Genomic DNA, 12937 nt, shown 5'->3' on the forward strand with positions numbered 1-12937 from the left:
ATACACACTTTATGTGTACATTTATGCGTACAGCTGTAACCTTTTTATATACATTTTATCATCTTTTTTCACTCAATGTTTATTTTTTCTATTTTTAAGGAGCTGAATTCAGAAGACAATGTTATACATTTATATAGCTTTCTACCTTCTGCACAGTATTTCATCAAGTAAGTAAACCATGACACCTTCATAGTTTTTGTATCATGAAATATTTTAATCATACAGAAAATCGCAAGGAACAATATACCACACATATTTAACAAATATTGATATTTAAAAAATATTTCTAAGCTTGGCATAGTGGTGTGTGCCTATAGTTCCAGCTACTCACTTGGGAGGCTGAGGCAGGAGGATCGCTTGAGCCCAGGAATTTTAGGCTGTGGTGTGCTATGCTGATTAGGTATCTGCACTAAGTTTGGGATAAATATGATGACCTCCTGGGAGCAGGGGACCACTAGGTTGCCTAATGTGCGGTGAACCAGCCCAGTCTGGAAATGGAGCAAGTCAAAATTCCCGTGCTGATTAGTTGAGGGATGGCATCTGTGAATAGCTATGGCTTTCCATCCTGGGCAACATAGCGAGACCCTGTCTCTTAAAAAAAATAAAGATACATTTACAGGTACAGTTGGAGCTTTCCTCTGCATGATGTACTCAAGTCCCTCCCAGGATGGACTATATAATTTTCAGGGCCCAGTGCAAAATGGAAATGCAGGGACCCTTATTCAAAAATCATGATGAGTTTCAAGACAGCAACAGCAGAGCATTAAACCAAGCACAGAGCCCTTCTAAGTACAGGTCTTAGTGCTACTGCACAGGTGACAGCTGTGCTACATCCAGGCAGCCAGCTCTAATTCCGCATCTCCTCTCACTTTCTTAACATTGATCTGTGTCTTTGTTGTCCCATGTTTATGCTTTTACTTCATATACATGCATAGACCAATATTATGGAGTATTGTGTTACATGTTTTAAAATATTGCATAAATGGCATCATATTGTCTGTATCCTTAGGTTGCTTGTCTTACTCTTTTTGAGAGGTATCTGTGTGGAATCATGGAGATGTTATTCATTTTCACTGTCGCCTAATAATCCATTGTGAGATCTCACCACAGTTCATTTATCCAGTACCCTACATTTTTATCATAATTAACAGTACTAAGGTGAACATCCTTGGGCACAGTTCTCTGTGCATGTATGTGAGTTTCTGTCTATCTGTCACTAGGTGTGGAATTGAACTGCTCTGCCTTGCTGGATGTTGAAGTTATTTCCAAGTTTTTGCTTGGCATCAATGTGCTCCCCTGGGGTGCCTCCCTTTGGATGTTCCTAAGTCATCTGAAAAGCTTCCCTTGGGAGACTTTCCTCTGAGCTACCTTTCTTTTAAGATCACCATCCACACAGTCAGAAACTGTGTGTCCTGACCCTTTCCTTTTATTCCCTCACCACTTCTAACCTATTGCCAAAGCCTATGGATTCCCACTCTAAAATATGGCTTTAACCCATCCTTCCTCCATTTCCTTCCTGCTACTTCTGTTATCTTGGCTCGGGAACCCCCCTCCCCTAGACTCCTTTTCCAACTCCTAACTTGTCCCTCAACCCCCCCAGTCTCCAGCCCCCCAACTTTCTCCACTGAAGGACTTATTACACCCTACCAAGTTGCATGGTGACATGGTGACATGCAGTGCTCCCATGAACATTGTAGAGATCAGAGCTGTGAGTTACATGACAGCAAAGATTGCATCATAGTCACCATTTGTGGACCTGTAGCATGGTACCTGGTACCCAACAGAATCTAAAAATATCTGTTGAATCAAAGTCCGAATAAACATCATGCTGTCATTTTCCTATCTTTTGGATGACTCAGGATAAATTCGCCAAAGGAGCATTATTGATGACTTAGGATAATGAACATAAAGTTCATAGTCCTGTGTAAACTGAATTTGATCCACACAAAACTTTAGGTCAGTTGAGACCAGCATGGGCAACAGAGTGAGACCCTGTCTCTACAAAAATATAAATAAGTTAGCTGGACATGGTGGCGTGCCTATCGTTCTTACTACTTGGGAGGCTAAGCAGGGAGGATCACTTAAGCCCAGGAGCTTGGAGCTGCAGTGAACTATGATCACACTACCGCACTCCAGTCTGTGACAGAACGAGACCTTGTCTCTAAATAAAAATATATAATTTAAAAAACTCTAGGTCAGGTGTGAGAGATAGGATGACCCTTAGCAAGAAGTGGTTTTCCCAAGATCCCAAAGCCAGTAAGAGACAAAGTATAAAGAGCAACAGGTACTCAGGTATTCTTTCCACCTGCTTGTCCTATTTCATAGGTGTCCTAAATTTAGTTTAGAAATAACTAAATATAAACTATGTTGCCTTTTAATGTCGGGTGACTGTCTCTTTAAATCTTGCTGTTTTAACACAAATATACTTCATTCTAATGTGTATATATATATAATATGTATATATATTTAAATAATAACCTGATAGAATTTGTATCTCTCTAGAAAAGAAAGAACTCTCATCTCGGGGCCTTTGTTTATCCATCTATTAAATGGGCATAAGGAGGGTCCTTCTAGGATCTTTTGCTCTGTGAGTAGATAAGGAAAAAGCACACTTTTCTATCCCTATCTAATTTTGTTGCTCCCATGCTCTGTGCAGTCATTTATGGGGCTGAGGAGGATGAAGGAGGAGGATTTATGGGGCTCTTGCAAAACTGGGAAACAGTAATAGCTGACATTATAGCTGCCAGTGCCCCTTACCTGCTGATTTGAAAGCCCTTTAATCACTTGTAGCTTATGAAACAGAAAGTGATCTGCTAGCTATTTCCCCCAAATGCGTTGGTGAGTTCATAGGTTAACCCTACAGGAAGGAGACAGCATTGCTAAACACAAGAAGAGCCTTACTTACTTCATGGGCTTTCAAGTGTCAAGGGCCCCAATCCTTGACTCTGAGACCCTCAAATGATACCATCTAGCTGATGTTGTTCTAAAGGGTCAGCCCTGAGGAGAAGTTCATCCTATGGAAGTCACCTGAGCACTCCACATACCATCTGAAGCCCTGGCTTCCAGTTCTGGCTCTGCCACTAAAGGGCTGTGTGACCTCAGCCACATTCCTCCACATTTACAGTGAAGCTGGTGGAAAACACGTTTCCACTGCCCCTCCACAGTTCTAAAGTTCTATCATTCAATGGGAGGTGGAGATGGTTCTCAGCATCAACAATACAAAGCAGGGAGATTTTTAGTTCCTCTTGGCCTGAGTCCCTGCCTCCTGGACAGAAGCTGGGAAATAGATGAGCATCTGGCTCCCTGGCCTGGGTCACAGAATCACAGAATCGTGGGTGGCTGGCAGGAAGCCTCTGCGTTTGCCAAGACCCACGTCCTACCTCCCTCCCTCATTCAACACAAATTTACTAAGCAGTTGCGTTGAGTAGAATGTGGGCAGAGATGGCGGCTGTTGTGTTCACCAATTTATCCATGGCATCTAGCGCAGTGGCTGGCACATAGTAGCTGCTCACTACATATCTGCTGAATGATGTCTCATCTCCTACAGTAGGGGAGCCTATTAAGCACAGATTCCTGGGCCCACCCCAGACCTACTGAATTGGAATCTCTGGCGTTAGTGTCCAAGTGACTGTCATGCCCTCCAGAGTCTGAGAACCACAGCTGTATGTAGTGTCTGAATAAAGCATCATCTTATTATTGGAAAGGAGAAAATGCTGATGTTTCAACTTTTGAGCATTTGTCGGTAGTGACTAAAATATTCAAGTCAAATAGGTTCATTTTGCTGTAGCCATTTCCATGGAGCCTGGGGAGCTCTGGGCTTTGCACTAGGTATGCACAGGGCTCACTTTCACTAATCTTGAGGGAGGCGAGGCTGATAAAAAAGGCAGAGAAGATAGGAGTCAAGCCACACAATGTCCAAGCTTGGCATTATTATTGCCCTTCACTTGGAAGTTATCAAACAGGACACGCGCTGCCCTTCTAGCTTTCCTGGGGAGGTTAGATGCTATGAGACTTTTCACACTCCCTTTCCAGTGTCTGTGGCTCAGACCATGTACACACCCAGGTTCAAATCTGAGCTGTTGTCTCTATGTAGTCTGGGGCCAATCACTTTAACCCCCTTTAAACTTTTGTTTCTTTAGTCATAAAATGGACATCATGATTTACCCTACGGAGGGTTGCTGGAAGGATTAGAGATGCTATAAACTCAGGCGTTGGGCACATGCTCAGTACAGAAAAGCCCTAAGGTTTGGTTGATGTCTATAAACTGCCATAACATCCGGGCTGCAGGACTCTGTAGAGGTTCATCTAGGCTAGCTCCTTCTTCTTTTTTTTTTTTTTTGAGACGGAGTCTTGCTCTGTCGCCCAGGCTGGAGTGCGATGGCACAATCTCAGCTCACTGCAGCCTCCGCCTCCTGGGTTCAAGCAATTCTCCTGACTCAGCCTCCCTAGTAGCTGGGACTACAGGCGGGGGCCACCACGCCCTGCTAATTTTTTGTATTTTTAGTGAGATGAGGTTTCACCCTGTTAGCCAGGATGGTCTAGATCTCCTGACCTCATAATCAGCCTGCCTCAGCCTCCCAAAGTGCTGGGATTATAGGCGTGAGCCACTGCGCCCGGACTGCTCCTTCTTTTTTTTTTTGAGAGGAAGTCTCGCTCTTGTCCCCAGGCTGGAGTGCGCCCAACTGACCACTCCTTCGTTTTTTTGTTTTTTGTTTTTGAGACGAAGTCTTGCTCTTACCCCCAGGCTCACTGCAACCTCCGCCTCCCAGGTTCAAGCGATTCTCCTGCCTCAGCCTCCCGAGGAGCTGAGATTACAGGCACCCGCCACCACACCCGGCTAATTTTTGTATTTTTAGTAGAGATGGGGTTTCACCATGTTGGCCAGGCTGGTCTCGAACTCCTGACCTCAGGTGATCTGCCTGCCTCGACCTCCCAAACTGCTGGGATTACAGGCGTGAGCCACCAGGCCAGGCCGCTCCTTCATTTTATAGATAAGAAAACAGCCTCAGAGAGGAGAAGCAAATGGCACAAGATCATCTAGCACCTCAGGTTTTTTGAGGGCTTTTTTTTTTTGAGATGGGGTCTCAGGCTTTTTTGAGGGCAGTGATGATCACAGGTCACTACAGCCTCAACCTCCTGGGCTCAAGTGATGCTCCCATCTTAGCCTCCAGTGTAGGTGGGACCGCGAGTGTACACCATAAACCCTGGCTAATTTTTTTTTTTTTTTTGTATTTTTTGTAAAGATGGGATCTCCCTATGTTGCCCAGGCTGTTCTCAAACTCCTAGACTCAAGTGATCCTCTGGCCTCAGCCTTCCATTGTTGGGATTACAGGCATGAGCCACCACACCCAGGCCAGGACTTTTAATCTCAATTAAGAACTTCACATTTTTCCATGGGCCAGAGGAACTTCAAATTCCTCCATGAGGCTGAGACTCTGTGAGCAACCTGTGATGAAGGAATTTCTGGGACAATATGCTTTTCAAAAGGACGCTAGATATCTCAGGTGAGGCCCTTTCTCACCTAAATTTCTTGCCAGCCAGAAGACTGTTGTGAGGATGTAGTGACTGGTGAGAAAGTCCCTGACGTTGGGCAATGTGTGGCTTTTCTATCAACACGGGAGTTTTAAAAACAAAAAAGCCTCTGGGAAAGTGCTGTCAGGCCTTCCCTGGCAAGGCAGTGAATGGCACTGCAGCTCTGCAAGGACCAAGGCTAGAGATGGCTGGCTTTGGGGACACTCCCAAGTTTGGCCTCTGGGCTATGAAGGACACACCACCAGTCAGGGGCCAGGCTGGGCCTGGAAGGGACATCTCCAGAAACCATCCCACAGGACTCTGACTCTGGTGCCCAGGGGAGTAGCAAAAAAAATGGGGTCTTGGGAGAATTCAAGTCCTTAGTGCTAATGGTGATGACATTGGTGATGTTGGTGATGATTATAGTGATGATGGGCATTTCCTACCTGCAAGATTCAGGGCCAGGCAACTGACTTTACATGAATTGCATTATTTCATTCAATCCATCCTCACAAGATCCCTATGTGGAGCAGTACCATTGCTATCCCCACTTTACAGATGAGGAAACTGAGGCTCAGAGAGGTTAAGTAAATGACCAAGGGCACATAGCTAGTTTGCACCAGGATTCAAATCTGAATATACTGGAGTCCAAAGTACGCCAGCAGCCTGTAAGTGCTGGAAAAAAGGCAAGTAACATTGGCTAGTGCCTTTAAGGGATATATATTTCTTATTCCCATTTTAACAGAAGGGAAACAGAACAGAGCGCTTAGCGTATTCTCCATGAGGTCAGGCACTGTGCCAAGCACTGTACATATATTATCTCCTCAATCATCAAAACATCCCTATGAAGTTGGTGGTTTTTTGGTCCCCATTTGTGTAGATGAGGAAACCGAGGCCCGAGACTAAATGACTTGCTGTGGTTCCAAATCAGGCAGTGTGACTCCAGGGCCCACGCTCTTCACCCCCTGAATTGCTGGATACTGGAACAAGATGTTCCAGTATCCAGATGCAGGGTCTGAAACAGAACCCAGGACTCCTAACTCCTAGTCTAGGGCTCTGAGGCTAGATGCAGGCTCTCTGTTGGAATGCATTGTTCCTTAAAAGCACACTGGCCTTAAGCCCAAAGAGTGAAATCACGGCCTGCGGTTCTGGGAACCTCAGACTGGAGAAGGAAGCTTTTGCCCTGGTGTTCAAGTCTCAGCAGGTGTGCTGGGGACTCTCCCTCTATTTCCTTCTCCCGCTGGAAGGGAGCCCTTGTTAGGTGGGCAGGGTGGGGCAGCCCTTATGAGTGTAGGGTGGGAGGAGGGCAGGAGGCAGGCGTGCCCAATAAAACAGACCTAAAGCTTCCCGCCTTCTTGCCTTCATCCAGGCAGTGCCCTCATCTCCTGTTTGGTAAACAACAGGGCATGATGATGAGAGTTCAAGGTTGGAGTCAGGAGGTCTGAGTTCTGGTTCTGGCTCAGGCAGTCACTCCATGTACACATTGACAGTCAGTTTCCTTATCTGTATAATGTGTGGTGGTGGTGGTGGCAGAGAATCAAAATTCTCCAGCTTTTTCAGTTAACACATCATCTATTAAGTGCCTACTATGTGCCAGAAACGGCAGATACAGCAAGTGCAAAAGCAGATTTAGGCCCTGCTTTCATGGTGTTAGAGTCTTGTAAGGAGAGATACAAAGATTAAGTCTTCATTGCAACAAATGTAAAACGGCAACTGTGACCAGCTTTTAGAGAAAAAAGGCCTGCTGGTGGAGCTAAGGGAGCCCATGATGGTGGAGGTGGAAGGAGAGGAAATGGCTTGACAGTCCAAGGGGTAATAGGGAAAGATGCCCCGAAGAGATTACTAGGTGAGTGGCAAGCCCGTTGTGAGCGGGCCTGCGGAGGCTGGCAGGAGCCCAGCCCCTTCATGCATTGTGGGCATTGGTAAGAGAACTCATTGGAGTTTTTTGGGGGAAGGGTGCTGGGGACGATGGCAGAGAGAGATATATGATCAGGTTTAGCACAGAATATAGGCAAACGCACCCTTCAAGTAAAAGATAAAAATGCCTCCTCCTCCAAGGAGACTTCCTTGATTTCTTTGCTTTTGATCTATGGTATTTCTCCCTCCTTCTCTGGCCTTGTAGCCTGGGTAGAGAAACAGTCCTCCAGGGGAGTAAGACCTAAGCTTTCCCTTCCTGCAACTGATGTGCGCTGTAGCTTTGAACGAGGTCCTAGGTATATACATACATACATACATACATACATACATACATACATATATATATACATACATATATATACACATACATATATATACATACATATATATACACATACATACATACATATATACACATACATACATACATACATATATATACACATACATACATATATATATATATATATATATATTTTTTTTTTTTTTTTTTTTTCAGGAGGGATATGAAGAGTGACTTACAGGCGCCCGCCACCATGCCTGGCTAATTTTTTTTGTATTTTCAGTAGAGACGGGGTTTCACCATGTTGGCCAGGCTGGTCTCAAACTCCTGACCTCAGGTGATCCACCCGCCTCGGCCTCCCAAAGTGCTGGGATTACAGGCGTGAGCCACTGCGCCCGGCCTTCGAACGAGGTCCTATTCCTTCTCGAGCCTCAGTTTCCCCAGCTGTGCAGAAGAAGCAGGTTGTCTCGCAGGACCCGCCCAGCGCTAACGCAACGTGATTCGCTCTGGCAGGAGCCGGGGGCTGCCCGCATTGCTGCGCAGGCATCGGGCTGCTGGCTGGGGCACCGCCACCTGGCTGCCTGCGCTTTACCCCTTGCTGAGGGCTGCGTGAGCTGGTCGCGGCGCCAGACACGGCGCAGGAAAGTGGGTGAGCGACCCCCGGCTCCCGCGGGCGCCGCGCGGCCCCGCCCCCGCAGCTAGCGGCCCTGCGGCAGCCGGGGGCTCGAGCTCCGCCCTCCGCCTCCCGCCGGCCTCACTCCCTCCTCCCTCCTCCCTTGCTCGCTCGCTGGCTCCCTCCCCCCGGGCCGGCTCGGCGTTGACTCCGCCGCACGCTGCAGCCGCGGCTGGAAGATGGCGGGGAACGACTGCGGCGCGCTGCTGGACGAAGAGCTCTCCTCCTTCTTCCTCAACTATCTCGCTGACACGCAGGTACGGCCGGCTGGGGCTGCGGGCCCGGGGCCAGGGGTGCTGAGCTGCGGGGGCCGCAGCTGCAGCCGCGGAGGCCGGGAGGCAGCGGTGGGAGCCCTGGGGTAACTGGGGGTTCCAGGCTGCAGAGCCCCCCTTCCAGGCGCCCTGCGATGCGCTCCGTTACCGGGGCAGGGAGCCGGAGGTCTCCCGGCGCGTGCCGGAGCGCTGGGGGCGCTACGGCCGCTGGGGAGGGTCTAGCCTTGGCCGCTTGGAGTCTGCCACCCCGCGGGCAAAACTGGGGGGTACCGCGCTTCCTTTGGGAGGTGGAGGCGCGCCACGGTGTGGGGTACCCTCAGGCTGGCGCTGGGTGCTGGAGGCGCGCCGTCAGCGCCCGGCACTTGCTGCCGTACTTTCACGTGGACTTGTGGCCCCGGCACGGGTGCATGCCCGGGTCTCCGGAGTCCCCTAGTCCTCCAGGCTGTAGTCCCCAGAGTGCTGTTGCTGGCCCCCCGCGGCTTTCTACCCGCGCCCGCAGCGCGGAGTTTCCTGCCAGTTGCCGGCTAAAGGCATAAGGGTCTGCGGGGCACGTGGACATGCGGGCGGAGACAGCGTCTTCCTGGTTTCGCTATCGGGCGGAGCCCCCTGGGGGGAAAAGCCAGGCTGGATGGGGGCGGAAGGACTGTCTGGGGGCGCCTGGGTCCCCCTGCGGTGCGCGGCCCCGGTGCGCGCTCCACGATGCAGGGGGAAGGGAAGGCGAGGCGGAGTCCCAGGCACTGGCTGAGCCCGGGAGCCCCACTGGCGACACGCGCGTGACAGGAGAGGGTGCTCTGGTGTGCCGGGGCGCGGGGGAGCGAGGAAGCTGGTGGCTTGGAGACTGGGAGAGGGGTGCTGCTGGGACAAGCAGCCACCAAAAATGTCAGCACGAGGCGTGCGCGGCCCCCACCCCTTCCCCCATTTTCCCCACCCAATGCCTGTTGCAAGCATAAAGTTTGGCTCCAGAGTTAGGGCTTTTTCTCTGGGCGCCCGGCTGCGGGTCATTGGGAAGCTGAGGATGCGGCGGAACCTCGGAGGAGCCCCGGGTGCTGGCACACGCCTGGGCACGGAGAGGGGCGGCCGGGCGGAACCGGGCGCGGCTCGCGGGGGCTGGTTTGGTACCTGGAGTGGGAGCGCCGGTGCCGGCCCGTTTTGCATAACAGTGGAAGGGAGGGGGAAGGCGGAGATTGGGGGAGGGAGGTGGGAGGAGAGAGAGGGAAACTTTGCTTCTTGTTATAATCTGCCTGTCTTTGGGCGGCAGCAGCTGTCATGGGACCGGGTGGGCGGGGAGAGGCTTGCAAGCTGACTCCTTGCGGTGAAACGCGACTTGGAAGGGACGCCGCAGCCGAGACGTTCAGCTCCGGGCAGCGACTTCGGGCTGGCGGCTGGGACGGCGTGGCGTGGCAGGGTGTCGCCGAGAGGAAGCCCGCCACGCGGGAGGCAGGCCGCCCCTGGCCCGCTGCAGACGCCGCTGCGTAGGGGAGCCGCGGGGCCGCGTGGTCGGTGGCGGGCGCGCTCGGGTGGGTTCGCGGCAGAGGCCGGAGGGGCTAGTGGCGTGTGATTGCGCTTCTCGAGATCGAGGGGAATGTGTGATGAGCGGGTTGCGCGCGCGGGTGTGTGTGTGTGTGTGTGTGTGTGTGTGTGTGCACACGCCGCGCGCGCCGGGCGCGTACCTTTACCTCTGACGAAACTGCGGTGGAGCTCCCGCCGTCGTCGCCGGGCTCCGTCACACGCCCCGCGCCGGTGTCTGCGCCGAAGGCAGGTCCCAGCCTCAGTACCCCCAGAGCCGACAGCTTGGGGCTAGCGGGCACTGAGTGCGGGAGGAGGGGCAGAGTCACTCCTGGGAAGATTCTGTCCCCAGATCTCGAAATTGCCCTGGGGCGTCTCCGAATCTCTTGGCTGAAAAGCGGATGAGAGAGGCCTGAAATAGCCGGAGACTCGTTCAGGGACCCATGTCAAGAACTGTCCGCTTTGGACTGTACCCCGGATTTTAACTCGATCTTCAGTGTTTGGCTCAGCAATAATTAATTATTTTGCCCTTTAGCCGCCCAGCGAGCCTAGCTAGCAGAAATATTTCAACTAAGGAAACTAGAAAATTGAATACTCAGGTGTTTGCAGGAGCAGTGCAGTGAAAGTTAATCTGGGACATTTGCTTTTTTTATTTAACCACATGACAGGCCGAGGATCTTCTGGTGATCTTTGCCGGCCCAACTTGGGAAATGTAATTGATAGGATGAGCTTTGAGCCGCCCCTAGAAGGCTCGGAGAGCCCAGCCGGAAGAGGACCTGGGCGGGCCCAGTGTGCTCCTCCTTATTTTACAGCTGGAGAAAGAGGCTGCGAGGAGTGAGCGGCTTGTATGGGACCATGCAGCCAGAGGGTGACAGAGCCACCCAGGGCTCCTGACTCCAGGTCCTGTGTGTTACCTAGAAATAGCACTGGACTTGGAGTCAGAAGGCCTGAGTGGAGTCACCTTCCCCACTCTCTGGCTGGGTGACCCCGGAGCAAGCCATTTGAACTCTCCGAGCCTCATTTCCTCCATCTGTCAAATGGGGCTGGTGGTGCCGCAAGAGAATCCAATGGCCTGGTGGTGGGGGTGAGCAGTGTTTGCATGTGAGATGTTCTGGTTGTTCCTGCAACCCCCTCTCCTCCCCCAAACTTTCCCTGACCCTCCCCTCCTTCATCTCCCTTTGGGAGCTTTGGGGAAAGTGGATTAAATGGTAATTCATTGTCTTTGTCCCAAAAGATTGTTGTTGTCTTTGGTGGCTAATCCAGGGTTAGATTAGAGGGAGGACTTCTGTTTAGGAGACTTAACTTTTACCCATTGGGGCCAAAGTACGGAAATTTAGCAGAACAAGGATTGCGAAAGTTTCTTGGAAAGCTTTGAGGCATGGATCCCAAAGGACTGTGGGTGGCTTCACCTTTGTTCAGGCTATGCCCCTGGCCCAGAGTACCCTCACTCACCCGTCCTGCATGGCCTTCTCCTCTACTAGGCTCTCCCAGCCCAGCTTGCCCTGCTTTCTCTCCTTTGGTTTTCTGCATCTGTGTGATACAACCAAGCACTTTGTGTGAGTCTGGTGTCCAGTAAGATTCTAGCACTAGGGTTGTACCTTTTATCATTGTGCCTGCAAGGCACCTGTCAGTATGCTGAGCTGTGTTCCTTTGCTTAGCTCTTGGCTAGGCACATGGATTACAGACAGGGGTGCAGCTGGGTCCTGCCAAGCAGAAGCTCCCAGGCTAGCAGGGGAGACAGCTGGGCAGCGAGTGTGGGAGAGAGGAATGCAGAGGGCTGCAGCTGTGGGCAAAATTTTAGACCCCAAAGGCCACACAGCAAGTCCACACTAAATATGGGCTATTTGAAGTTGCTTAGGGCATCAGTCATAGATGCACAAAATGTCAGAGTTGGCAGCGGGAATGTTAGAAATCATCAGTTCTAACAACTTATTTAAAAATATTTAATTATAGAATTGTTAGAAAATACTGCCAAGCATAAAGAAAAAAATGAGAAATATGTAACATGACCCAAAGATAACCACTTAATTGTCATGTATATTCCAGACTGTTTATTTCCTGTTCATATAGATCACATCTTATTTTTAAAAAATGGAGTCGCCGGGCACGGTGGCTCACCCCTGTAATCCTAGCACTTTGGGAGGCCGAGGCGGGTGAATCACCTGAGGTCAGGAGTTCCGGACCAGCCTGGCCAACATGGTGAAATCCTGTCTCTACTAAAAATACAAAAATTAGCTGGGCGTGGTGACACACACCTGTAATCCCAGCTACTTGGGAGGCTGAGGCAGGAGAATCGCTTGAACCCGGGAGGCGGAGGTTGCAGTGAGCCGAGATCGCGCCACTTCACTCTAGCCTGGACAAAAGAGCGAAACTCATTCTCAAAAAAAAAAAAAAAAAAAAAAAAGGAGTTATCCTGAATATACTGATTTGTAACTTGGAATTGCACTGTTCTGTAACTTGTTTTTTTTTTTCCTCTTCCAAACAATATGCTGTGAACATCTTTCCACATCAGTAAATATTCTACTTAGTATCTTAATGATTATATAATGTTTTGTTGAAGATTGAACCGAGATGTATTTAATTAATCCTTTATCGTTACTCATTTACGTTGTTTAATTTTTTTATTTTGCTATTGTAAGCAATGCTAAAACGAATATCTTTTTATGTATGTCTTTGTTTCTTCCTTTAAGTTCCTAGAAGTGAAATTACTCCATCAAACTCATTCCTGGATTCTCTTCTAGAAAGATTGTACTTATTTGTGCACTGGCATGGTCT

At 50.0% G+C, this 12937-nt stretch overlaps 1 protein-coding gene, 1 non-coding gene and 1 pseudogene across 6 annotated transcripts in view, besides 9 other annotated features; all 3 read left to right on the top strand.

The window, feature by feature from the left end:
* On the top strand, positions 291-593 carry RN7SL868P (RNA, 7SL, cytoplasmic 868, pseudogene; annotated as a pseudogene).
* Positions 8130-8780: an enhancer, noted in NCBI's record as "H3K27ac hESC enhancer chr5:149109472-149110122 (GRCh37/hg19 assembly coordinates)". NCBI's record gives its function as "activates a minimal SCP1, AML or CMV promoter by ChIP-STARR-seq in naive H9 embryonic stem cells {active_cell/tissue: H9 hESC(naive)}" and the evidence as "EXISTENCE:reporter gene assay evidence [ECO:0000049][PMID:30033119]".
* Positions 8130-8868: a biological region, named in NCBI's record as "H3K27ac hESC enhancer GRCh37_chr5:149109472-149110122".
* Positions 8189-8868: a silencer, noted in NCBI's record as "silent region_16499". NCBI's record gives its function as "represses an Ori minimal core promoter by ATAC-STARR-seq in GM12878 lymphoblastoid cells {active_cell/tissue: GM12878}" and the evidence as "EXISTENCE:reporter gene assay evidence [ECO:0000049][PMID:35858748]".
* Positions 8531-12937, top strand: part of PPARGC1B (PPARG coactivator 1 beta) — a 127650-nt gene continuing 123243 nt past the window's right edge. For all 5 annotated transcript variants that reach the window (XM_011537553.3, XM_011537555.3, NM_133263.4 and 2 more), the window contains exon 1: positions 8531-8641. In XM_011537553.3, the coding sequence (XP_011535855.1) occupies positions 8564-8641 (78 nt within the window). In that variant the 5' untranslated portion in view covers positions 8531-8563. The remainder of the gene's footprint in view (positions 8642-12937) is intronic.
* Positions 9019-9138: an enhancer, noted in NCBI's record as "active region_23385". NCBI's record gives its function as "activates an Ori minimal core promoter by ATAC-STARR-seq in GM12878 lymphoblastoid cells {active_cell/tissue: GM12878}" and the evidence as "EXISTENCE:reporter gene assay evidence [ECO:0000049][PMID:35858748]".
* Positions 9149-9198: an enhancer, noted in NCBI's record as "active region_23386". NCBI's record gives its function as "activates an Ori minimal core promoter by ATAC-STARR-seq in GM12878 lymphoblastoid cells {active_cell/tissue: GM12878}" and the evidence as "EXISTENCE:reporter gene assay evidence [ECO:0000049][PMID:35858748]".
* Positions 9669-9768: a silencer, noted in NCBI's record as "silent region_16500". NCBI's record gives its function as "represses an Ori minimal core promoter by ATAC-STARR-seq in GM12878 lymphoblastoid cells {active_cell/tissue: GM12878}" and the evidence as "EXISTENCE:reporter gene assay evidence [ECO:0000049][PMID:35858748]".
* Positions 9779-9828: a silencer, noted in NCBI's record as "silent region_16501". NCBI's record gives its function as "represses an Ori minimal core promoter by ATAC-STARR-seq in GM12878 lymphoblastoid cells {active_cell/tissue: GM12878}" and the evidence as "EXISTENCE:reporter gene assay evidence [ECO:0000049][PMID:35858748]".
* Positions 9849-9938: a silencer, noted in NCBI's record as "silent region_16502". NCBI's record gives its function as "represses an Ori minimal core promoter by ATAC-STARR-seq in GM12878 lymphoblastoid cells {active_cell/tissue: GM12878}" and the evidence as "EXISTENCE:reporter gene assay evidence [ECO:0000049][PMID:35858748]".
* Positions 9969-10198: a silencer, noted in NCBI's record as "silent region_16503". NCBI's record gives its function as "represses an Ori minimal core promoter by ATAC-STARR-seq in GM12878 lymphoblastoid cells {active_cell/tissue: GM12878}" and the evidence as "EXISTENCE:reporter gene assay evidence [ECO:0000049][PMID:35858748]".
* On the top strand, positions 11046-11111 carry MIR378A (microRNA 378a). Its single transcript, NR_029870.1, has one exon. It is a non-coding gene; the product is annotated as a microRNA 378a (primary transcript).

This window comes from Homo sapiens, chromosome 5 (genome assembly GCF_000001405.40).
Source record: "Homo sapiens chromosome 5, GRCh38.p14 Primary Assembly".
In the NCBI taxonomy this organism is placed as follows: Eukaryota; Metazoa; Chordata; class Mammalia; order Primates; family Hominidae; genus Homo; species Homo sapiens.